At 46.2% G+C, this 25,567-nt stretch overlaps 2 protein-coding genes across 11 annotated transcripts in view, besides 4 other annotated features; one reads left to right on the top strand and one right to left on the bottom strand.

The window, feature by feature from the left end:
* Window positions 6,481–6,530: a silencer, noted in NCBI's record as "silent region_2457". NCBI's record gives its function as "represses an Ori minimal core promoter by ATAC-STARR-seq in GM12878 lymphoblastoid cells {active_cell/tissue: GM12878}" and the evidence as "EXISTENCE:reporter gene assay evidence [ECO:0000049][PMID:35858748]".
* Window positions 6,541–6,630: a silencer, noted in NCBI's record as "silent region_2456". NCBI's record gives its function as "represses an Ori minimal core promoter by ATAC-STARR-seq in GM12878 lymphoblastoid cells {active_cell/tissue: GM12878}" and the evidence as "EXISTENCE:reporter gene assay evidence [ECO:0000049][PMID:35858748]".
* Window positions 11,349–11,598: a silencer, noted in NCBI's record as "silent region_2455". NCBI's record gives its function as "represses an Ori minimal core promoter by ATAC-STARR-seq in GM12878 lymphoblastoid cells {active_cell/tissue: GM12878}" and the evidence as "EXISTENCE:reporter gene assay evidence [ECO:0000049][PMID:35858748]".
* On the top strand, window positions 11,465–17,750 carry PCBD1 (pterin-4 alpha-carbinolamine dehydratase 1). 3 transcript variants are annotated; one of them, NM_001323004.2, is made up of 4 exons: window positions 11,465–11,499; window positions 14,101–14,232; window positions 14,798–14,878; window positions 17,545–17,750. In NM_001323004.2, the coding sequence occupies exons 1-4, from the start codon at window positions 11,497–11,499 to the stop codon at window positions 17,641–17,643; spliced, it is 315 nt and encodes a 104-aa protein (NP_001309933.1). In that variant the 5' UTR covers window positions 11,465–11,496; the 3' UTR covers window positions 17,644–17,750. The 3 variants fall into 3 exon arrangements, with proteins under 3 accessions (NP_001309933.1, NP_000272.1, NP_001276726.1); NM_000281.4 differs by lacking the exon at window positions 17,545–17,750 and adding an exon at window positions 15,982–16,520; NM_001289797.2 differs by lacking the exons at window positions 11,465–11,499; window positions 17,545–17,750 and adding exons at window positions 12,149–12,177; window positions 15,982–16,520.
* Window positions 11,929–12,208: a silencer, noted in NCBI's record as "silent region_2454". NCBI's record gives its function as "represses an Ori minimal core promoter by ATAC-STARR-seq in GM12878 lymphoblastoid cells {active_cell/tissue: GM12878}" and the evidence as "EXISTENCE:reporter gene assay evidence [ECO:0000049][PMID:35858748]".
* SGPL1 (sphingosine-1-phosphate lyase 1) overlaps window positions 18,846–25,567 on the bottom strand; it is a 65,237-nt gene continuing 58,515 nt past the window's right edge. For all 8 annotated transcript variants that reach the window (NR_199385.1, NM_001438357.2, NM_001438353.1 and 5 more), the window contains 3 exons: window positions 24,482–24,628; window positions 23,369–23,489; window positions 18,846–22,835 (listed from right to left, as the gene is read on the bottom strand). Coding sequence is in view for 7 of the 8 variants with exons in the window: in NM_001438357.2 (NP_001425286.1) it covers window positions 22,695–22,835; window positions 23,369–23,489; window positions 24,482–24,628 (409 nt within the window). In the remaining variant the exon portion in view is untranslated. The remainder of the gene's footprint in view (window positions 22,836–23,368; window positions 23,490–24,481; window positions 24,629–25,567) is intronic.

The following is a 25,567-nucleotide window of genomic DNA, read 5'->3' as shown; positions in this document are numbered from 1 at the left end:
AGGCAATAGAGACACAGCTATTTGTTAATCTTGAGGTGAGAAAGTCCTTCCTAAGCAAGACATAAGTCTAGAAACTGTAAAGGAAAAGTCAGGCAGACTGGGCTATCTAAGAACTAAACATTTCTTTATGTCACTAAGCTAAAAAGTAAATGAGATTCGGAGAAAATATTTACAACATAGATAATCAACAAAGGGTTGTAATTCTACAAACCAATAACAAAAGGACAACCTTGAATTAAGAAAAAAAAAAACAGCAGGTTAGATGGGGAGGGAGGAGAGCCGAGTAAGCAAGCACGAACGAGCAGGTTATCACTCAGTCCTGCTGGGGACCCTCGGAGCGACGGTGTAAACACACCAGAATCCTTCCACCAAGGGATAAGGAAGTGGATACGTATCCACCAACCCCCATCCTACATTGGTTGAGAGTAGGGTATTAACTCCCTGTCATCTGCAGCCTGTCCAGCTTGTGGGCAGAGCATCTTCGATGGGCAGGGAGCCTCCCCAGGCAGAGAGGGCAAAGTCTTGCTCTTGAAGGTCATGTTCAGGGTGGGGTTGAGAGGATACAGGGGGCACTGCCAGACACTCAACATGAAATGTCTCATTTAATCATTACAACCTCCCACAAGGCTGCTATTGTTATTATCCCCATTTTACAGTTGAGGACACTGATATTGCAAAAGGTTAAGTAACTTGCTCAAGATCCCACAATTAAGCAAGCAGAAGAGCCAGACCTCAGGGCAGACGCTGCCTCCAGAGGCTGTGGTGACCTCCGCCTGGCGACCTGGGGTGGGTACAGAGCGGGGTGGCAGAGGGGATTTTTACCTTTCTCTTTATACCAACCATATGGGCCCACCCTTTTTTTTCTTTCTTTTTTTACTATCAGCACATGCTCCTTCTATGATTTGAAACAAAGCTTTTACAAACCTTTTTAGATCCTTAGCGTGGGACCTGGCAAAAGATTATACTACATAAATGTTAGCGTTTCAGGGTTGTCACTGTTGAACAATATTTCTTGAATACAGTTTACATGGTGCTGAGTAGCTATCTCAGCTCCCCGCAGAAATACACAAACATGAATTTGGGAAACATTTGTTGAGAAGGTATTAAGTGCAGGGCAGATTTCCAGATGCCCCAGGGGATTCAAAGATGTGTCATTCTTCACCCTTCAGGAGCAAGGGAAAAAGGAAATGAAGCACTGAGGAAAGAGACCTATAGGGTGGGCAGGAATCGGGCAGGTTCAGCAGTGAAGGCTCCCAGGCAGGAGTGGGATTCCTGGGAAGCAAATAAAGCCTGAGCCTCAGGGGTTTTCACCTGAATGGGTCCCACCCAGGAGCCAACATGGTCATATGTTTTTGCAAAATTTTCTAAAGAAAGATATTTTCAGTGTAGGCCCAGTGAATAGGTCAGGCCCAGTTTGTTTTTCCACTCCAACTTTCCCCATGTCACACCCCTCCCGTTGGGTGGTATCAGAGTAGATGCCGGGCGTGTTTACAGATCTGGTAGAGGGCCAGGTGTGTTGAGGATACACTTCATTTGGGTTTAGAGGGATACATTTATGCCATTCTCTGTCACTACCATATCTAAGTAAGTTGTTGCTAGCCATCATGGTTATAGAAGTGCCTTCTAGGAATATACACACTTATAAGATATGTCCCATGGCCTCTGGCAGAGAAAGATGGGTAATGCAGGGAAACAAGGCTCCATATGTACAGAGCTGGCATCAGACCTCTGGAAAATTCTCCCAGTTATCAGGTGTGCAATATTTCTCAGCAGACAGTTTCATTTTCATCAATACCTAGTCAAAATAGATGGTCCCTCTTATTAGGAATATTCTTTTTTTTTTTTTTTAAACAGGTTCTCACTCTGTCGCCCAGGCTGGAGTGCAGTGGTGAGATCTTGGCTCACTGCGACGTCCACCTTCTGGGTTCAAGCAGTTCTCCTGGCTCGGTCTCCCAGGTAGTTGGGATTACAGGCACCCGCCACCACGCCTGACTAATTTTTGTATTTTTGTTAAAGGCAGGGCTTCACCATGTTGGCGAAGCTGGTTTTGACCTCCTGACCTCAAGTAATCTACCTACCTCAGCCTCCCAAAGTGCTAGGATTACAGCATGTGCCTGGCCAAGAAATATTCCTAATAATGTAACATATTCAATGATAAATACACTATCACTTTTTTTAATTGCACAAAAAAGAATGTATCAGAATTTCATCCTTCATTAGGCCCAACCAGCAAGCACATATGTGTGTGCCATCAAATTTACTCATTCAAACTATCAATAATAAAAATAATCAGTCTTCCTTCTAGCATGATTATCAAAATTTACCATCCTATTCTCTCTTTAGAAGTGCTAATGCCAAATCATCATCATATGAACAGGCCATGAAAATGTAGCCAAAATGGTAGGAAAGGAAAACTGGTACAGGTGTGTCAGCCAGCTCATAAAAATATTATTTTTCTGAACTTTGTGATGTTTGTAATAGTTCTTTTGAATTTGCAATTTGTTGTTAATTCCTTTCTCCTTCTAAGTAAATATTTATATTTGTACTTTAATTTGTTTTTGTAATTTGTGTTCTTCCTCTTAGAGAAAGTGTCCAAAATTCCATTAAGCATCAGGCTCATACAAAATTCTGGGTCTGCCCCTGCCCCTCGGAAGAGGTGACTATTGAATTATTTTAATGGAGAGGCAAAATTCTGGGGGGTAGAATGGGATGATCAGGAGATGGCCCAAAGAAATCCAGATATTACCAGCCTCTAGACTCTACTAGGGTGGCCCAGAGGTCCCTTGAGGCACAATAGTTTCCCTAGACCAGGCCACACCCTACAGCTTCACATGGCCCAGGTCCCCAGTCCCAGGATGTGTAGCCTAAAGGGTGACTTCTCTTTCTACCTGGGCCAGCAGCTGATTTCACTAGGTGCTTCATCACAGGGATAGTGGGTCCCTATGAAAGTCCTTCATGTAATTCATCAAATGCAGAATTCCAGCACTCTGCTTTCGGGCACATGGTAGATTTGCACTTCCCCACTCTCTTTGAAGCTAGGCACAGCCATGTGAGCTAAAACTTAAGATCCACTGCTGCTAACCCCCCACAATCTCACCCCACTTTTGCAGCGATTATGGAAAAATATGAGAGATGAAACCTCCATCAGCCTGGGTTCCTGTGTAACTACAAGGCATAGAGTCCCTCTGTCTACCTGTATTGAACATGTTATAAGAGAAAAAAAGAAATTTTTGTTGTGTTGAGCCACTGAGATTGGGGGTTACTTGTTATTGCAGCATTATCCAGCCCATCCTGACAGACAGAGGCATCAAAAGAGGGAAGTTGAGGCTGCTTCAGCACAACATGGGGCCCCAGACAACTTGAACACTCCTGTTCAAAAGAAAAAAGAAAAGGAAGAGGGCACATAGCAGTTTTGGGCCCATGGTAATTCTAAAATCCAGCAGGGCACATGTTGCCAGTTCCCCAGTGATAGCCCAGTCCTGCTCCCTGGAAGTGATTATAGCTCTTGGCTCAAACAGCCAAGCTCTTATCTCTGAAATCTGACTTATCTTTTCTTTTAGATATGTCCATGTTTGAAGTGGAGTAGCTTTTCAGTCTGATTCTGAAAGGTAGGAGGTACAGTGGACTCTTTTTGTTTTGAATTGTCTCTGTCTTTAGTTCAAGTTGGTAGTGCCAGTACCAATACAATTCTACTAAAAGTTTTGTGAGGTTCCTATAGACCTTATTGAGGTTCCTTCTATCGGACAAAAATTACAGCCACAAATCTCTTGAAGAGAGGCCCCTGTGTACCTTGGTCCAAGAGTCAGGGTGCTGAGGAACAAAATTCTTAAGGTCTTTAACAGCCCTCTTGCCTGGCAAAGTTGGTCTAGGAAGCACATCAAGCAGATTCTTAGAAGCCCTATTGTTTACCTGAAAGTATCTGTAAGACAGAGTCTTAAATCTTTCTAAGGTCATAACAGGAGTCTTACAGCTTTCCCCTTGAGTTGACCTTTACCATGAAGCCACTTCTTACCTTGAGAATCATTTGCTAACTTAGAAGACTGTCCAAGGCCCTCTTTTTAGCTCATTGCTCTCCCTCTTCTCAATGGTATTCTAGGCTGCTAGAAGCCAAGCATGAGTTCAGTGGGTACCATTCTTCTCTTCCAGGTTACTGAAGAAAGAGTGTTCCTACTTGTTCTTGAATCTTCTTTTTTTCCAATAATATTTTCCTCACTGTCTTTTAAAAAACTTTTTATTGAAATATTACATATATAACAGTACATAATTCATAGGGATTCAGCTTGAAGAATTTTTGCAGACTGACAGACGTATACACCCAAAGACCAACTTTGCCAGATGAAGACACAGGGTACTACCAGAAACCCATTCATAGTCTCTTTCTAGCACTAACTCCCCAGTGGTAATAATTATCTGCAGACTTAACATGGTAGATTGGCTTTGTTTTTTAAGTCAGGTTTATTGAGATATAATTTACATATGCATCTTTTTGACAAAGGCATCTAGTCATGTGATCACGCTACAATCAAGATACACAGAATGTTTTAATTTCCCTTGTGCCCCTCTGTAGTCAACTCCTTCCCCCCCACCCCTTCCTGCCCCTTGCAATCACTAATCTCTTCTCTCCCTATACCTAGTTTTGTGGTTTTCAGAATGTCGTATAAAAAGAATAATATAGGCCAGGCACAGTGGCTCGCGCCTGTAATCTCAGCACTTTGGGAGGCCGAGGTGGGTGGATCACCTGAGGTCAGTAGCTTAAGACCAGCCTGGCCAACTTGGCAAAACCCCGTCTCTACTAAAAATACAAAAATTAGCCAGGCGTGGTGGCGCATGCCTGTAATCCCAGCTACTCAGGAGGCTGAGGCAGGAGAATCACTTGAACCCAGGATGGGGAGGTTGCAGTGAGCTGAGATCATGCCATTGCACTCCAGCCTGGGCAACAAGAGAGAAACTCTGTTCCCCCCTCCCGCCCCACCAAAAAAGAAAAAGAATAATATAGCACATAGTCTTCTGTGCTGTTACTCCCAGCATAATGCTTTTGATATCCACCCATGTAGTCAAAGGTGTCAGTAGTTCATTTCTTTATATTGCTGATTAGTATTCCGGTTTATGGACATACGACATTGTGTATTCATTCACCTGTTGATGGACATCTGGATTGTTTTCAAGCACAGCTGCCACAAACATGAACATTAGCACACAGGCTTTTGTGTGGACGTGTCTTCATTTCTCTTGGAGTGGGGTTGCTGATACATAGGTAAGTGTCTGTTCTACTTCATAAGAAATTGAAATTGCCAAATGGTTTTCAGAAGTGGCTGACTTGGCTTCTGGTGGGACCTCTGACTCAGCAGATGGCCTTTTGTTCTTCCAGGAGCTGAAGCAATGGGCTGCCACTGCTGAGTGCTACCGTGATACCAGCAGATCTTGACATGATGGGCAGCTGTAGGCTCCAGTGGCCTTTGGTGTTTTCAAGAGTGACCGGATTCCAAAAGCTGCAGCAGAGAATGATTTCAGTGAAGAATGTGCTCCTGGGTTCTGGACATGGAAGAAAAAGATGTAGAGACACAGAGAAGGAGGCCATGTGAAGACAGAGGCAGAGATAGGAGTGATGCTGCCACAAGCCAAGGAACTCCAGGAGCTACCGGCAGCTGGAAGAGGTGAGGAAGGACTTTTCCCTAGAGCCCTTGGGAGAAGCATGGCCCTGCTGACGCCTCCATTCAGACTTCTGGCCTCCAGGATGGTGAGAGAATAAGCCACCAAGTTTGTGATAATTTGTTGTGGCAGCCCTAAGAAGCTAACACAGCAGACACTAGTCAAATAACCACAAAATATATGTAAAATTTAACTGCACTAAAAAAAAAAAAAAAAGTGGCTGAAGCATTTTTCATGTCCACCAACAAAGCATGAGAGTTCCAGCGATGCCACCTCCTCATCAGCACATGGTAGGGTCAGGTGGCCTTTTATCCAGTCATTCTGGAGGTGTACAGCGGTCTCTCATTGTGATAGTAATTGCCATATCCCCAGTGGCCCCACAGGAAGGAGGTGTCTTTCTTCATATTTTCCATACTCTTGCCCTTCTCCCGGTGGTGACTACCAGGCTGGCTGCCCACTACCAGGTTTGTGGTGAGGAGGTAAGTGTAGGCTCTCTGCTGCCCGGGGCTGTGGAGCTTTCTCAGCCTTCCCACCCATCCGCTTCAGTGCAGTGGACCCTGCCTTATATCCGGGGCAGGTCCTTCATGGGAGAGCTTCCCACTCTGCCCCAGAGGCAGCTGACCTGGAATGATATTAACATAGGATCTTGGTCCCAGTACGGTTTCCTGGACCTCCCCCAAGGGTAGGGGGGTTCTCCTACCAGAAATGAGCCACCATGGGGCTGTGCGTGCCTGGGAGTGACAGGGTTTGTTGGCCCTCAGCCTGTGGCTTAAGGCTTTTGCTCCACTGAACAGGGGGCTTAGGACAGGGGGTTGGGCGCTTTTCCCACAGCAAAAACAGCCCCTTCAGCCCCCACACTACTGAGTGGGTCCCTCTCCTTCCCTCATCCTTCCCCACTCCCTCACCGGATGAGCACTCTGAGAGCATGCACAGAGAGGAAGCAGTTAGTGTGTGCAAACTCTCACCTTGTCTGGGCCCCCTGCTGTCTCAGACCGACACGCCAGCCCACACCTGGCTTCCAACAATTTGTTAAAACTGAACTGATTTCTTTCTTCTTACCCACTTTAATGGAGGCTGCCCCTTCCTCCAAGCACTGCCCAAGTGAGCCAGACTGCACATCCTGCCTCTCCTTGGAGGGACCTGCCCCCTTGGAATTCAGGATACTTGGTTGCCCTGTGAGCTCACCTCCCTGGTGAGCTCAAGAAAAGTGATGACTTTGTAGTGCATGCAGTCTTTTCTCATTGTTAAGTATGATAGCAAGGCTTTCTGCCTCCTGGATGGAAGGTGAATACTTCTTGCTGTCCTTAAGTCTTTCCTTCCACCGTCTCTCACCACCCATTCTCAACCTAACGCTACACATTTTAGGTTGCTTTTATAGCAACATTCCACTTTCAGGCACCAAATTTTGTTCCTGCCATTTGTTCCTATTGCTGCAGAACAAATCATCATGCTGAGTGGCTTAAAACAAAAATTATGATTTCTCATGCTTCCACGGGTTGACTGGTCTCACTTGGGGCCTCACGTGGGATTGAAGTCAGATGTCTCCTGGGGCTGAAGTCATCTGAAGGTTTGGCAGGTCTGAGCATCCAAGAGTCTCACTCACGTGGCTGGAGAATGATTAACAGTTCCCAGAGTTTCTTTGGCTTAGTCTTAGAAGTTATAGCTGGATGTGGTGGCTCACACCTGGAATCCCACACTTGGGAGGCCAAGGCCCAACATTTGAGCCCAAGAATTTGAGACCAGCCTGGCAACATAGAAATGTCCTGTCTCTGTAAAAAATTTAAAACATTATCCAGGCATGGTGACTACCTGGGGGAGCTGAGGCAGGAGGATCACTTGAGCCCAGGAGGTCAAGGCTGCAATGAGCTATGATTGCACCACTGCACTCCAGCCTGGGCGACAGAGCAAGACACTGTATCAAAACAAAGTCACATGGTGACATTTCTGCCATATTTGACTGGTCATACTGGGCCATCCCAGATTCAACATGGGTGAGAACTATGCAGGGTGTGAATATTGGGAGTCATGGTTCATTGGGGGCTATCTTTGGAGACTAACATCCTGCCTAACACTACATACCAAAAGGGACCTTTCACATTTAGGTCTTAAATCTATCTAACTATAAAGTTAACAAAAGAAAAGGGAGTATATTTTTGTAGCAGGGTGGGGAGAGGACTTATCAAATAAATTTTCAAATGCACAAAATTATAAGGCAGAGGGAAAAAAGATAAATCTTATTACACCAAAATATAAGATTTCTGCCCACAGACATCATGGATCTCATGCAAGAAGTCAGTATACAGATGGCAGAATGAGAGGAGATATTTGCAATATCAAAACTGACAAGCAATTAATGTCTAGATTTTATATAAACACCCACAAACCAACTAAAAAAAGAGAGCACTAAAAATTCTCAAAAATTGGCAAAGGATATTAAAAAGCAATTCACAAATAGTAACCCCCAAATGGTAACAAGCATATGAAGAGGTTCTCAAAATCATTAGTCATCAGAAAACAATGTAGAGTAAAACAATTGAAAGCGGCAGGAGGCAGACAATTTCCTAGGCAGATGGGGGTGGGTCCCCAGTGAAACCCCACCTTCAAGCCAAAAACAGCCTGGACTGCTGGTTTGGGATGAAACCCCTCAAACCAGGGTGAGAACTTCTGTTCCTGTTTGCCCACCCTTTCCTGATTGGTTCTTTCTGAATAATGCTTTTTAACCAATCAAATGTTGCCTTTTCTAATACTACCTACAGCCCGCCCCTCCCCAATCCTGTGCCTATAAAACCCCCTAGACTCAGCCACACTGAGATAGACAACCCCACCTTCTCAATCCCTCTCCACTGAGAGCTGTTTCATCGTCAATAAAATTCTCCATCCTCATCACCCTTCAACTGTCAGCATGACCTCATTCTTCTTGGATGCAGAACAAGAGCTCAGGACCCACCAAATGTGGGCACCCACAAAGGCTGTAACGCTGGCCCTCTACCCTCACTGGTGGAGGGCAGCTGCCCCACAGAACAGAAGCTGCAGCAGGGCCAAGCTGGTCCAGGAGCCACGGGCCAGAGTGGAGAAAGGGGCCGCCTGAGCTGCCAACATGCCGCTGTCCATCAGGCTGCAGATGGTGGAGATAAAAGAGCTATTTAGCACACTGTAACACCCCTCTCTGGGGCTTCAGGCACCCCTGCCTGGGTGCTGCCACAGTCTCCTTGGGGTGACACACCTGATCTGGCTGTGGGCCCCACACAGAGCCTGTTCCTGTGTCATGGCTCAGTGCAGCTGGCTGGACCCTGCATTCACTCGGTCACATGCTCCCTCCCGCCAGGGGCTGAGCATACAGTCGCAGTGGCCTTGTGAGCCATGGGCTGTAACACAAGCCAGATGGGGCCTGGCAAGCTGAGTAGATAAGGCACTCCCTGCTGCAACCTCAGCAAAGGGGTCAAGAAAAATCCTGCATCACAACAAGCTCTCATTTTATAGCTATTAGCCTGACAAAAAAATAAAAAGCTGGCTAATGGGAAGTGTGAGTATGTATGTGTAAGATGCATATGGAAATAGTACCCCCTCACACCATGCAGGAGAGAATGAGGACTGGTGTCCCCATCCTGGACATCATCTAGAACTATTTTGAGATACACACCCATGGGGGGAATTGCTGGATTTATAGGGTATGGATATACTTAAGTTGCCTAAGAAACTGCCCACAGCCCAGGGAGCAATTAGAGATGTTCACTGCAGCAGCATTGTTGTTTAACTCTGTGTACGTATGTGTTTGTGTGCCCACATGCTCACGGGCTTGGGAGGTGGTGGTAGCAGCAGAAAGTTGAAGGGAACCTGAGTGTCCATCACTGATAGAACAAGAAACCCATGGCAGATTCTCATTACAAAATACTAGGCTGCAGTTAAAAGCTACAGATTGAATATACATATAGCAACATGGGTAGATCTTAATTTTCCACTAAATACTCTGTTTTGTAAGAAACAGACTGAGAAATGTAATATATTTACATAATACCATTTACATAAATTTAAAAATACACATAGACGAAACAACACCACACATTTTGCAAGAACCTGTGCAAACAAAAATACACATTAACACATTAGAGAGGCTGCTATGGGCGGTGGTGGGGGGCGGGGAATAAAAGTGGAGCACAAGAATAAAAGTTAATAGAAAAATGTGAAATGTGAGAGGACTTTTCTAATCTGACTCTAAGACTTATTATAAAGCTATAATAATCAAGACAAGGTAGTGTTCTGTCATGACAGACAAACAGATCAATGGAACAGAAGAAAGGGCTCAGAAATAAACCCACATGTATACAGTCAATTGATATTTTACAAAGGTGCAAAGACAACTCAGTGGAGAAAGGAATAACTGAGTCGCCATGTGCAAAAGTGCATCTGGATCTATAACTTGAAGCATATAAAAATATTTACTCAAAGTGGATCACAGACTAAATGTAAAACCAAAAGCTATAAAACATAGGAGAAAACTTTTGATCTTGGGTTAGGCCAAGATTTCTATGTGTACAACATCAAAATAGAAATCCATAAAAGAAACATTTGATATATTGGATTTCATCAAAATTAAGAACGTTTGCTCTTTGAAAGGCACCATAAGATAATGCAAAGAAAATATTTGCAAATCACTGCCTGATCATGTCCTTATATCCAGAATAAAACACCCTCAAAACTCGATAAGAAGACAACCCAATTTCTTTTTTAATGGGCAGGAAATTCAAACATGCTATTCAATAAAAAAAACTTATCCTTAGCAAATAAGTACATGAAAAGACATTCAATACAATTACTAATCAAGGAAACTCAAAACCACAATGAGATACTGCTACACACCAATTAAAATTTAAAAGGCTGACTATATCAAGTGTTGGTGAGGACAGAGAACTGCAACCTTCATACACTGCTGCTAGGAATATAAAATGATACAACCATTTTGCAAAACAGTATGGCAGTTTCCTAATAAGTTATAAAAGTCCACCTACCACATGACCCAGGCATTCCATTCCTAAGTGTTTACTCAAGGAAAATTAAAACATACGTACTTTCGAAGATTTGTGCACCATATTCGCAGCAGCTTTATTTGTAATAGCCAAAAGGTAAACAACGCAAATGTCCAATAGTGAATCGCTAAACAAATTGTAGTCTATCTGTACAATGCAATACTATAAAATAAATTTTACTTAGCCATAAAAGGAAGAAACCATTGATATAGGCAACAACATGGCTGAACCCCAAAACAGTTATCCTGCCTAGTATATACTCTATGGTCCATTTACATAAAATTCTAGAAAATGCAAACTAATTTATAGTGACCTAAAGTACATCAGTGCTTGCCTGGCCAGGTGGTTTCGGGAGGAAGGGGTTACCAAAGGGCAAGGGAAAACTTGCAGGGATGATGATATGTTCATAATGTTGATCTCGGTGATGGTCTCACGAGGGAAACATTAAAATTTATCAAATTGTACACGTTGAATATGTGCAATTTATTGCATGTCAATTATATCCAAATAAGAGATTTTTATAAAGAAAAAAATAGGTATTCTGGCGCCCAGGGCCACCCAGCTGTAAGCGGCGGGGTGGGATTCCAACCCAGAAGCGGGCATTTGGAGCCCTCATGCTTCACCCTAGCTCCCTGAAACAAGCACGGAGGATGGCTCTGAGCAGCGAGGAAAGTGCTGGAAGCAAGCAGGCCGAGCGCGTCCCTGGCTGGGGACGTTAATCATTACCGGAGGGCGGCCCGAGCGCGGCCCCGCCCCGGGACGGCAGCCTGCGCGCCCGGCCGCCGCCTGCCCTCTCCGCTGGCCACCTGCTGCCGCCCGCGCCATGGTGAGTCCAGGGGTGCGCGGCCGCGATCGGGGCAGCGGGGCCGGGGCAGCCGCGGGCGAGGTGGGAGCGGGAAGGGGCGGGGGAAAGTCTTTTCGAGTCCCCTGCGGAGCCGCCGGGGTCCGAAAGTGGGGTCTCTGCCCGGCTCTCTGTCGCTGGCGGCGGGGAGGGGAAGCTGAAGCCCTGAGAGGGGCGGTGGCGGGTTCGAATCCCACCCAGTTGGGAGGCCAGGCCTGCCCTGACCCCGGCCAGTGCTTGTTCCGGGACCCTTCCGGGGGCGGGGCCTACGACCTTCCTGGGCCGGGGAAGACAGTCGTGGAGGAGTCCACGGATCTCGTCCCCTTGGTGGCCCGATTCTGCTTTATACTGGGGTGGGAGCGAGAGGGAGGCTGAGTTTGCGCGCTCGTGTGCGTGCCTGTCCGCTGCCCCTTCCCGCTGGCACTCTGGGTACGGGGTCTGCCTGGGACTCACGCTCTGCGCCGGTATGCTGGCCCCAGAGCCACTCCCCGCGCCGGCTTGAGGCCCGTGCCAGGCCACGGGGGCTTGGTGGCGCTGGAGCAGCCCTCCTCCCGTGAGCTTCCCCCACCCACCCCCGGGGCGGGGGCGGGGGCGGGGCCCTTGCTCTGCTGTAAGCTCGCGAGCTTCATCAGACCATTTCTGGTCCACAGGCCTTCGGAGCAGGCAAGACTGGGAGGGCCTTTTGATAGGAGAGGGACTTGGGGGAGGGAGGATGAGTGGGGCTGTTTGTGAGGGGCGCTGAGGTCCCAGAGATGCAGGCTTGGGAAATCGGTAACCACTCCCCACACCTCGCCAGAGGAGGCAAACGGGGCAGCGTCCCCCTCTCTGTCTCCAGAGCCGGCACCTGGAAGGTTTGTCAGTTCAGCCGCAGGCTGTGCGACCTGGGGGGTTCCAGAAGGCTCTACCGAGAAAGGGAAGCCTCCTAAGAGCTCACCTGGACTCACCCACCCCTTTAAGAGCCAAGGAAGTAAACAGTGGGCTCTGATGCTTTGGCTGACTTCTGGTTGTCTAGATACACGGACCAGGCGGTCAGCCACGGGGAGAAGGCCAGCTCTGGAGTAGAGACCTACCTACTGGGCAGATGATGCAAATCGCTGCTGCCATTCAATCCCTATAGTCATCCAGAGCCGAGGGGAAGAGAGGGGCCAAGCTACATCAGTCCAGAGAGAGCTCACGTTTTCAGGAGGGAAAACAGCAGGGAAAAAAGACGGACTTAGGAAAGCACTGCGATGCTTCAGCTACCCCAAATGCTACCAGGCCCATCACAAGCCTGCTTGCCTTAGGAAGTTTTTTTTTTGTAATGCAGATGACATTTGCTTTATAGCAGTGGAGTTTCCTAAAGTGTCCCATTGGCACCTCATGATGATCTGTGGAGGTGGAGGTTCTGCCAAGAGAGGTACAGCCACCTGGCTGGTAAATGGTGAAAGCGGGTCTCAAAACTCCTGCCAATCAACACATGGTGTCCAGTCTGCAGGCTGCCTCATAAAAGCTAAATCAACCTCCCTCACATTCCCTCCCCACCCCTAAGGGTATCTTTTCAATTCAGCACTCTATTTCTGCCCTGGGGTGGTGCTACTCTAGAAGCCTAGGTTCTGGGATCTGTTAAGCTCCTAGACCTGGATCCTCCTAGGATGAAACTGACCCTTGCTTCCTTGCTTTCTCTGAGGTTCCACTCATGGCCTGAATTGTGCCAATTTGGGCTGCCTTGAGGGCACTTCGCACATTAGGTAAATAGGATGGGGCACTAGGTTTGCCAGCTGCCTTTGGCCAAGTTCCTTCCACTTTGGCCTGAGCTTCCCAACCAGCCAGAAAAGCAGACGGAAAACCAGAGAAACCTAGCCCTGGCGGCTCAGGACCAGAGGCTGCCTGGGAGCATGACTGAGGACCTACTAGAGGTAGTGCCAACGGCGGTCAGCTGCAGTGTGGCTAAGAATGGGATGGACACTTATTTTAAATGTAGCTCCTTCGTCCAGCCCCAGCAATGCTGACACACAGACAACACTGCGCCATCACTGGCTAGGGGTGGGCGGGAAAGAACAGCAGACAAGTCGTTTCCCCTCTCTAGGCCTGTTTCCTCTTCAATACACGTGAAAGTTACGGTAGGGACGTGGGGTGCATATGATGAAGTACATAATAGGAAAAGGAAGGGGGGAGAGTCATGGGTACTCTTCCTGAGAGGTTGTGGAGTAACATATTTGCATCTGGGATTTATTTTGCTTTTACGCCCTCACTGATGTAATAATCTCATGGAGGGAAGGTCCGTAAGGCTTTGAGGGCAGGGTGGGGGAAGAGTGCTTCTCTGTCCCCGTCATATGAATTACATTGCTTTTGTGATTTCCCTTGTGTGTGTGTGGAGTGTTAAAACCCAAGACCTGAGGGCCTATCGGCAGACGAGCCTGGACCCCACCTCCTGGGCAGGGTGCCACCCTTGAGGCCTCCCAGCCTATTGCTCAAAGACCTGCTGCCCTTTGGTCACCCACGTCCAAAGCAGCCAGTGGAAGCTAAGTTCCCCTAAAGGTTGGAGCCCCTCTGTTTTGACCTATAAAGAGAAATGCCCTTGGGCCTCTGTTTTTTTCCCTCTTCTAGGCTGGCAAAGCACACAGGCTGAGCGCTGAGGAGAGGGACCAGCTGCTGCCAAACCTGAGGGCTGTGGGGTGGAATGAGCTGGAAGGCCGTGATGCCATCTTCAAGCAGTTTCATTTCAAAGACTTCAACAGGGTATGGCACCAGGGTGGGACAGAGTTTTCTGAGACGGGCTGATGGGGTCACCTTACAAAGCATGTTCTCTCCCTTCACGTCTTGTTAGCCAAGACTCTCAGACACCACACTCATCCAGTTATTTGGGCACTGTGCCAGTGGGGAAATTAATTTTCCTGTCTAACTCAGAAAGTATCATCTTTGGGGATTGGAGAGCCATAGGAGGATGTGTCTTGGGCTCTCCCTTCCTGGAACTTTTAGCAGCAGTCTTCTGAGGAGATAGTTCAAGTGGAAACCATGCACATCTGAAGACATTTGAACAGACGGCCAAGACTGGCCAGGCCAAAAGCCTGTTGTGGTGTTTCCACCTTGTTGACATCCTAAATAGCAAGACTTTCTTCCTACTGCAAGGACAATCTCTAACTCAAGCCTGAGAACCAGTGACAGGATGTCAAGGGGGAAATGATTATAGAGGAGTCTCCTGGGGGGAAGCTAATTCATCCTCCTGCGTCTAGGCCTTGAATTGGTGATGTCCAGAAGTCCTTTCTCTTAGAACACTAACCTGGCTCTCACTCCACTTAAATAGGCCTTTGGGTTCATGACAAGAGTGGCCCTGCAGGCTGAGAAACTGGACCACCATCCTGAATGGTTTAACGTGTACAACAAGGTGAGTGATGCTGTGTGCCTCTGTTGTGCTCTGCCCCCATCCAAATACTGCGAACTCTGACACATTCTGAAGGCTTTTGGACTTAACAATGAGCCTTCCTGACCCATAGGTCATCCACTCATCTCATTTCCAATCTCACTGAGATTGCACATGCCTAGAATCAACATAAATACCCCTGGGAAAAAAAAATCAGTCTTACTATAAAGAAATGCAAATTAAAAGATGCATGAGATAGTTGTGGTTAAAGTAGACATTTAAGTAGACATTAAGAAGGCAAAACCCAAGAAAGGAAAGGCTGTGGGAATCAGGCATACTTATTCAGTGTTCATAGCTCTAAATGGCTTTAATCTTGCTGGAGGTATGGAAGAATGAAAAAGTAATAAACTTGAACTAAGAATACACACATATTTGGGAGGCCGAGGTGGGCAGATCACGAGGTCAGGAGATCAAGACCCTCCTGGCTAACATGGTGAAACCCTGTCTCTACTAAAAACACAAAAAAATTAGGCGGGCGCGGTGGTGGACGCCTGTAGTCCCAGCTACTGGGGAGGCTGAGGCAGGAGAATGGTGGGAACCCGGGAGGCGGAGCTTGCAGTGAGCAGAGATTGAGCCACTGCACTCCAGCCTGGGAGACAGAGCAAGACTCCGTCTCAAAAAAAAAAAAAAAAAAAAATACAGACACATAGCCAACCTATCAAATTATTTGCTTAATGAATAGAAACAGTCATTAAATGTCTACCATGTGCCAAAAGCTCTGCTGGTCTCTGTTTATAAAAACAGTAAGGGTGGAAGAGGTCGTCTATGAATGGATAGTGTTTAGGAGTTGGCATTGGTTTTTGGTTTTGTCTTTAGCTTTTAGGTTGCTCTTGACATTCAGATATTAAGCTTTTATTCTATAGCTGAAGTCATGATTATTTTTGAGAGACAGCAAAGGGGAGATGTAGAAGATGTTGTTACAGACATGTCAGGAAGGAGTCCCCAGGAGAGATCGTACTGGCCAGCTGCTATTCTGGAGCTCCTAGCAGGGCTGAGCCCAGCAGCTAGTGACTCCCTCCTGTTCTTAAGTGAAGTCAGTGGAAGCAGAATTTCTGGTTTCATTTCAGGTCCACATCACGCTGAGCACCCATGAGTGTGCCGGCCTTTCAGAACGGGACATAAACCTGGCCAGCTTCATCGAACAAGTAGCAGTGTCCATGACATAGACCCTGCCCTTCCTCTTTGAATTCTTCCGGGGGAAGGGGTGACTGAACTGGGAGTCCAGGGAGGGAGCTGAGGAGCCCTTACCCTCCCACCACTCCCCTCCCAAGACCCAGCCGCCGCCGTTGAGGGCTGAGTCCTTGCTGTGGGATGTGCCAGTGTCCCCACCAACACCAGGAATTTAGACCTTTTCCCTGCACCACTCTCTTCATCCTGGGGGCTCTGTTACACTAATTTGAATAAACTCTCCCCTTTCTTTGCAACTTCCCAGCAACAATAATGATTTTCTTGCCAGGCCGTCTCTTGCTCCCTAATTCATTTCCCAGGAAGCTGTGATACAGGGTGAAATAAAGTCTTGTCTTAGAAACCAGGACCCTAAACCCCACACTATGTAATAGAAACACATGTGTTTTTATGTCTCAAATAAAACTATTATATCACTTGGTCTCAGGCTCTAGAAACTTCTTTTCCACAGGTCAATCCAAATTGGAGTCAATAGGCATTTAAATGAAAGCACTTCCTCTGTGCTAGGCACTTCCTCTGTTCAAGGTACTGGAAAATGACAGGGACCAGACCACCTTGCCTTCAGATTCATTATCATCTAGGGGATACCATTTGATTATCATCAAACAGGAACACAATTAACTATTACCAATTACCAATTAACTAGTACTAATTAACTATTACTAGAGTGAATTAATGCTAGGTGGCAGGATAAGAAATGAGCTAAAGGGAACGCAAGTGATTAATGGTGAAAAGGGCAAATCTGGAGGCTTTGAGTTATGCCTTGAAGACCTGGGTAGGATTCTTGGGAGGCAGAGATGGCTGAGAGAACACCATGAACACAGATAAGGGTGTGAAGGGCACAGGTATTATATGCATTGTGGAACCTATGTCTAGAAAGGCAGTCTGGGGCCATATTACAGGTTGAACATCCCTAATTTGAAAATTGGAAATCCAAAATCTGAAACTTTTTGAATGCCAACATGATGCCCAAAGGAAATACTCATTGGATCATTTTAGATTTCTGATTTTCAGATTAGAGATGCTCAACTTGTCAGTATAATGCAAATATTCCAAAATCCAAAATCTGAAACACTTCTGGTCTCACACCTTTCAGATAAGGGATACTCAACCTATATTTTCTTCCTGGCTGTGATGGCTAATGTTAGGTGTCAACTTGATTGGGCCATGGGGTGCCCAGGCATTTGGTCAAACATTCCGGGTGTGTCTGTGAGGGTGTTTCTGAATGAGGATAACATTTGAATCAGTAGACTGAGTAAAGCCGACTGTCTTCCCTAACATGGGTGGCCTCATTCAACCAGGTGAAGGCCTGTACAGAAAAAAAGGGCTAAAAAGGGCTGACCCTCTTCCAAATAAAAGGGAAGTCCTCCTGCCTGACTGCCTTGAGGTGGGACATTGGTCTTTTCCTGCTTTCGGACTTAAACTGAAACATCCACTCTCCTTAGGTCTCAAGGCTACAAGCCTCCGGTGTGCAACAATACCATCTGCTTTCCTGGTTCTCCAGCTTGCCAACTACAGATCTTGGGACTTGTCAGCCTCCATAATCACATGAGCCAATTCCTTATAAGAAATCTCTTTGTGTGTATTGGTTCTGTTTCTCTGGAGAATCATAATACACAGGCCTATCATATCAGATATGGCAGATCCCAAATCCTGATGGTCTCTTCAGTTTCTTAAAATCTTAGCAAAGTTCTTAGGGCTTGCCTGGTTTACTCCACAAGAGAGAAGACACAGGCAGCTTAGGACCTGGCAGGCTATTTATTACTGGAGCAGTTAAGAGATGGTTTGCACAGTCAGTTCCCCAGCCAGGAACTCTCTAGGACAGAATATTCCCACGCTGTCATGAAGAAGGGGGCACTAAGAGCAGCCTCATCTCTACCCCCACGAGAATGCCACACAAATTTTACCTCACATATGTCACTATGCAGAGACTGGGAAGCCTTCTTCCTAATAGTTCTCACCTGTGTCTCCTAACTCAAGTACTAAGCTGACTTGTAAATGCCGGGGTCACTTGGAACAGGAATCTAGCCATGTCACAACTCAGTCTGAATGAGTTGGTCCCCCAGCAAAGGCCAGGAAAGGGGCAGAGGCTGGAGGTTGAGAAATAAGCGTATTGTTCACAAGAGGGATTAGCAGGACCCCGTTCCTAGCATATATGCTAGTAAAGGATTATCAATACCTATATTGATGGCAAACGAGATTCAGACAGTGGTCTCCCATCTGCTCCACTTCTGACTTAAAATTTTCCAAGTGTGCTTTGATCTGATGACTGGAGGACTGAAGGACAGAAGACGCCAGATGCGGAGGTATGGACTATGCTGTTATGTTACATTCCTGCCTCTGCTTATTTTCATGGGTCAAGGGTTGAAAAATGTTCACCCGATGCAGGGACAGCTCATGCCTGTATTTCCAACACTTTGGGAGGCCAAGGCGGGAGGATCATTTGAGCTCAGGAGTTAGAGACTAGGCTGGGCAATGTAGAGAAACTCTGTCTCTACAGAATATACAGAAAAATTAGCCAGGCATGGTGGCACACACCTGTGGTCCCAGCTACTCGGGAGGCTGAGGTGGGAGGATCACTTGAGCCCAGGAAGTCAAGGCTACAGTGAGTGATGATCATGCCATTGCCCTCTAGCCTGGGTGACAGTGAAACCTTGTCTCCAAAAAATAAAGCCAACCTTGGCAGCACTACAGTTGTATGAAGCACATTCATGTGAGACAAAGACACAGGTAACACTTTCTTTTCTTTTTTTTTTTAGAAATAAATAGGTTTATTCTAAAATTAATCCAAATAATTGAAATTATAGGGAAGGATATTAAGAAGAGAAAAGATTACAAGACAGAGGAAAGCATAAAAGAAAATAAGGTAATTAAAACTTCAAATCAGGAAAAAGGTTCTCAAAAATCTGACTTTGCCTACCCAGGTACAGTTGGTGGCTATCAAATTAGGACTCAGTAATTACTTGTGTCACTGAGTGAAAGCTGCTCATTGCTGCCAAGAACCTACAGAGAAGGCCAAGGGGCTGACGTACAGCTGTATGGAGCAGCAATAAGCACCCCAGACACGACTTCCTAGATAAGCCAGGCCTCCTCATCCAAGTACATCCTGGATCCTCTTTCTCTCTGGTTTCCAGGTACTCAGGAACTAGGCCATTTGGCAGAAAACTGTAGCAAAAAAGCAATCCTTGGCTTGACTCTGGCAAAGTCTGAATGGGCTAAAAGCCAAAAGGAAAAGCTGGGTTATCTGAATGACAGCCTTCAGATCCTGACTAACACTTTGGAAAAACTTCTCGTTTCTTATTCATAATAGAATAAGATCTCCAGCAGTTACATGTGTGTGAAGATTATCTGAGGAGCTCTGTTAGCCCCTAAACCAAATGCAGGGTTTGAGGCCAATGCCCTTTGGTTAGACAGAACCACACTGCCCAGATGGCTAGAGACCACCCAGATAACTCAATCCATCATTAAGTTATTGTAAGCAGCAAACTGTAAGCAGAAGTGGATGATGAAGATGGAAAAAAATATAAGATAGGGCCTGTCCCTGGCAAACTAAGAACCTGAATTTCAGACCTCTCTGAAATAGGTACGACTACCACTGCTGGTGCAAGGACCAATCAGCGACCTATTGAAGTGCCTGGAAATGAGATGGATTGCTGCTTAACTGTGTCTCTTTCATTGGTCTTGGTATCAGTGGGCACACACGATTGTTTCACCACCAGGGGGCAATCTCTCACCAGGAGCCCATTCAAGCATGGCCACTGCCCCATTTGTCATCTCGTGTGTGCCCAAGTAATCAAATGAATGCAACCATCCACAGTAATTACAATTAGGGTCATTTAACTATTTAATTGCTTTTTGAGATTATTGCTGAAATTAGGAAGGGAGCATTGAAATGGGAAGGGGGAGGTTAGAGAAGACAGAGATTTAAAAGAAGCAAGTACCATTTTCCAAGTATAAAACTCGTAATATTAAAAGTGACATAGCAGTATATTCACATGACTACTTAAGTCTAATGCAGAAACAAGACAGTACAGTTTTTGCAGAGGCCGATGTGACATCTGCATGCGACATGATACTATTAAGTGTCTCTACCCACCTCTGCTACAGAGTAGCTGCTATATGCACACATACACAAAAATACACAATGAAAAGCCTACAAAAGTGTTAAGTCAAACTAAGGCTCTTAATTGTAAATTAAAGTGGCTACAGTAGGTCCCTTTGAAAAACACCATCTCCCCTGGCACCAATGTTGTCACAGCACAGAGGAAGCGAGTGGCTCGGGGTCTGGTTCTGGGGAGACGCTCTACAGGGGCACATGCTTCTCCATCTTGGCAGCTGGCAAGCCACAGTGGTGTCTGCTGGGTGGCTCTGGGTTCCTGGACCTCATTCAACATAATGCACTGACCAAACAGCTCTGACCACAGCTACTCTCAAAGAGGTGCCTGCCAGGTCTCCCTCTGACACACACACATACACACACTACCCACTCTTGGAACCCACAATGCACTGCTGGGCAAACAGGAAAAACACACACACACACACACACACACATAAATGCCACACCAGCCCTGAATGGCGTGGCCAGCTAGTCACAGTTGTTGGGTCAGTAGTACAGTGCTCAAGAACAATTCAGACTAACATGCCAAGGAGCCTGAGGAAAAGTCTGGTAGTCATGGCTCTCCCAGCCAGCATTCCCAGTGGGGGAAACTAGAAGACACCAGCCTGGAGAGGCTGAATATTCAGGAGTCCCTGAGATGGGGAATGGAACAGAGGAAAGTGTCTTTTGACTCATCTTAAGTACTCCCCTCCCCAAATAGAAACCTCAAAGACTGATCCATTTCCCCTAGGGCCTGGGCCAGGAGTAGCTCACTGCTCACTGCTGAGGAGAAAGGCACAAGATATAATGTCATAAGAGCAGGACAGTGGCTCAGCCTACAGAGTTCCCTATAGGGGAAAGAAGGCAGGAAATAGGCGCAGGGTCTGGTCCTGTCCCTGCACCACCCTGAGCAGCTAGTCTTGGGAAGGGATTACAGGCCCTGGGCCATAGGCTGCTCGCCATTCTGCTTTCCTATCCTGTTTCTCTCCCTGTGCTGCTCCCTTTTAGCCAGGGCTGAGAAATGTTCAGCACCTGAGGCAAAACTGCCATAGTACCTCTGAAAGCTGAATCAAGGGGGAAGAGGCAGAAGAACACACTAATAGAGAAAATTTTCCTTGCTACGGGTGCTCTTTCACACCCACCTAGGGTAAGTCAAGGCAACTTGTGAAGGTGCTTTGAGCTGTTCCTTCAAGCAAACACATTTTCATTACATAATGGCTTAACGCAAGGGTGCAGGGAAGGACCACCACCAACTTTGGTGACATATTTGAATCTGGGTGTTCATCCTACTCTGATATTCAAAAAAGCATAGAAAAAGGTCTGATTTCTGCTCATCACCAGCCCAGGATAGGGTTCAGGTGTGCTCTGACCACTGCCAATTCAGGAAGGCGGCACCATGGCCAAAAGCTCCCAGATTATTTGGAAACCATGTTTTCTTCCTAGTCCATGGTAACAAGAAAAAGCCAATGGAAGCATCATTCCAAACAATAATCTCCAAAGATGGTGGCAACCAAGTGTCAAATGGGGACTGCAGGCACAGAAGAGACCACCCCAAACCCTGCCTGGGTGGACGAAGCAGGTATGCTAGAATAGTCCTGTCCTGCAGAATAGGGAACGGCAGCTTGGTCGATCTGTGCCCTGGAAAAAGAAAATGAGTTGCAATAGAAGTGACTCTAAGACAGACAATGAACCTACTCTTAAGAGAGACAGGGCCAGGCACGGTGGCTCACGCCTGTAATCCCAGCACTTTGGGAGGCTGAGGCGGGGGGGCGGGTATCACCTGAGGTCAGGAGTTCAAGACCAGCCTGGCCAACACGGTGAACCCGTCTCTACTGAAAAAGAAAATTGAAAAATTAGCCAGGCGTGGTGGTGGGTGCCGGTAATCCCAGCTACTCGGGAGGCTGAGGCAGAAGAATCGCTTGAACCCAGTGGGTGGAGGTTGCAGTGAGCTGAGATCATGCCACTGCACTCCAGACTGGGCAAAAGAGCAAAATTCCATCTCAAAAAAAAAAAAAAAAAAAAAAAAGAGAGAGAAGGCTGAAAAAGCCTCCTGCTTAGAGTATACCTCACACCCAGCTGAGGAAACATCTGTTATGTAAACGCCTCCTGCCTGAGATAACAAAGAAGCTCTAGCTATCTCATAAACTGTACCCCAGCTTCTCTAAAGAATCAGGACAGGTCAGAGCTACCACACAATGTTTAAGTAAAGTTGAAAGCTAGAGAGTTTAGAAAAGGAAATGGTTAAAACAATTCCTAGGGTAACATTTATAACAAGGGCAAAATCATTATGTAATGGAATTCTCTGGGGTCTTCAAATTAAAAACCACAAAAGGAAGATAAGAGGAAGAACAAGAATCCTGAGGCTCAAGCTGTCTCATGGTCTATCTTGAGTTGTGCTCTATGGAGCAAGACCAGATGTCAAAGTTGTGCACGGCCTGTTCCATATCCCAAGAACCTTCTGAAGGCTGGAATCCCCTTGAGACTAGAAAGGGTCCAAGTTCAGTGGGGTTTTGGAGAACCATTCATCTGGCTGCCCTGGGTGACAGTGTCGGTGCTGTACAAGCTGTCCAAGAAGACTGAGGACAATTCTGCAACCATATTCCTGTCAACAGTTGTCTGGGCCATGCCATAGATGGCACCCTACAAATCCAAAGAAAGAGACATTATTAGTGAGGCCAGGTCCAAAAGCAAGAATAAAACTGCAGCAATGAGCCCCTTCTCCCCGAGTCCTAGCTTCGCATGTGCACTGCCCTACCCCATTTCCACCTAAGGCATCCCATCATTCTATCAGAAAAACAGCTGGCATAGTCAATTTTTCACAGGGACTTTCCAGTCTGCCTTTCTGCATAAAGGGACTAGCCTAAGAAAATTCCAGAAAAAACATGTTTACTATCTTTCCTGTGACAAAATTTTCTTTTCAAATGGACACTACCACCAGCTGCTTTTATACAGAAGTCTCTAACTTACAAGGTACTTTATAGTGTATCTCATTTGAGACTTCAGCAACCCTAAGGGGTGGGTGATGCAGAGATCATCAGCTCCAGTCAACAAATAAAAGATGTCTGTGGCAAAGGGGCAGAGGCAGGAACAGACTCCGGGTCATATGATTCCTTCAAACTCTCCACCAACACCTAAATTTCCAAGAGAAGAAAAAAAACTCCAAGTGTCCCTACCATTCCTGTGGTCTTCGCTTTAGGATTCTTCATGATTTGAGTGACAGATTCTCGAATGTCCTTTAGGAATTGTATAGCTACTCGTTTCCGGGCGTGTAGTAATGTGATGCAGAAATGAATACTAGGAAAGAAGAGACAGAGAGAGATGAACCTTGAAGAAAGAAAAAATGTTCTAAAATGATGCAGCCCCAAATACGGGAATTTCCTGGTTGCCCTTTCACAATATTTCTGACAAGTGTAGTCATCCAAGTTGTTCCTAGTCCTGGGAATCTCGGCTCTCTCATGCTTGGGGTGTCAGGCATGGGCTGGCCTCAGAGCTTCTCGGCATGACTGAGAACCATGCTAAGAGGATGAACAGTGTTGGCTGCTTTGTCCCACCCATCCCCTCACAAATTCCACCACCATTCCTTCAACCACGTCACCATCAATGAGACACTTTTATCTTAGATAATCAGCCCCCATGTGCTCTCATGGGGACAGGGCCACATGGCTGGGGTCTTAAAGGACTTCAGGGCACAGAAGAAATTCTACCTCGCCCTGGAGGAATTTAGTGGGGTTTACTGGAATTGTGAAGAGGGAAAAAGATAGTCCAGATGGGACTGGCAATGCACCAACGTGTGGAAGGCTAAGCTGTACACAGAGGACATGAACAGACCTGTACTCAGTTGGAGTGGTGCATTTACTCAAAGGCATCATGGAAGATTAGGTTAGAAAAGTCTAATAAAGAAGGCAGTAGCAGGCCTGAATGATTAGAGACCCCCAGGAAGATCTTGAACTAAATATTAGCCAGGTAACAAGTATTTTATAAGAGCAATTTGATGGCTGTGTACAAGATGGATTGGAGAGTAGAAAGGCTAGAGACTGAGAGAAAAACCTCATGACCAACCACTGGTCTAGGAGGCTGTCACCTAATTCTGCCAGAGTTTAAAGCTAATGGTCTTGTTCTTTGTATCTAATAATTCCAGGTGGCAAGAGAGAAATCCTTTATATACTACAGTTGCTACTAACGTGCTAGCCTCTAGCAGTCAAACTCTATACTTCAGGTTACTGTACCACCCAAGTTCTTCCAAAATCATGGAGCAAAATAAGGGAAAGAGGCTTCTTCAAGCTTACCTGGGTGGGAACTGCAACTGGTTCAAGTTCCACCCCTTAGCAGTCATCAGGTTTGATAGTCGGTAGATGTCAAAATCACGGGATCCCAGAGCAATGACTGACAATTGGGGATTCCCAAAAACAAAGATGCCTTTGATATTTTCCAGTCTTAAAACAAAAAAATAAATGAAGGAAGAAAAAGTAAATTCAGTCACATACAATCCCCTGGTCACTATCTCTTTAATCATTCAAAGTCTTCCTTATAATGAATGCAATCTAACCCTTTGGGCTTTAGTCTTCTCATCTTCAAAAAAGAAGAGGGCTACACTGGATCAGTGGTTCTTACTGAGATCAGAATCATAGATGGAACAATAAAAATGGAATTCCAAGGCCCAAACCCCATCTAGATCTAATGACTCAATCACTGACTTCGAACCTGTCTACCCAACTCCCAATTATATTCCCCTAGATGCTTCTGAGGCATGAAAGATGTACTAAAAAAATTTCTGGAAAAGTAATCTGCCCATCTCCACAGTTCTAAAAAGTCATATGTAATCCCTAAAGCAAGAAATGGTATAGCAGGTCTTAATAAATGGCCCTATCAGAGCTATAGGAGGACCTTTTATATATATCTAATTTTTATTTATTTGTTTGCTTATTTATTTGAGACAGGGTCTTGCTCTGTCACCCAGGCTAGAGTGCAGTGGTGTGATCATAGCTCACTGTAACCTCAAATTCCTGGGCTGTTCAAGCAGTCCTCTTGCCTTAAGCCTCCTGTGTAGCTGGGACCAAAGGTGCACACCACCACATGTGGCTAATTTTTATTTTTATTTATTTTTTATTTTTGAGATGGAGTTTCGTTCTTGTTGCCCAGGCTTGAGTGCAATGGTGCCATCTCAACTCACCGCAACCTCTGCCTCCCGGGTTCAAGCAATTCTCCTGCCTCAGCCTCCTGAGTAGCTGGGATTACAGGCATGCGCCACCACGCCCGGCTAATTTTGTATTTTTAGTAGAGACGGGGTTCTCCCTGTTGGTCAGGCTGGTCTTGAACTCTGGACCTCAGGTGATCCACCCGCCTCAGCCTCCCAAAGTGCTGGGATTACAGGG

Source organism: Homo sapiens, chromosome 10 (genome assembly GCF_000001405.40).
Source record: "Homo sapiens chromosome 10, GRCh38.p14 Primary Assembly".
In the NCBI taxonomy this organism is placed as follows: Eukaryota; Metazoa; Chordata; class Mammalia; order Primates; family Hominidae; genus Homo; species Homo sapiens.
This window is presented reverse-complemented; position numbering and strand designations above follow the sequence as displayed.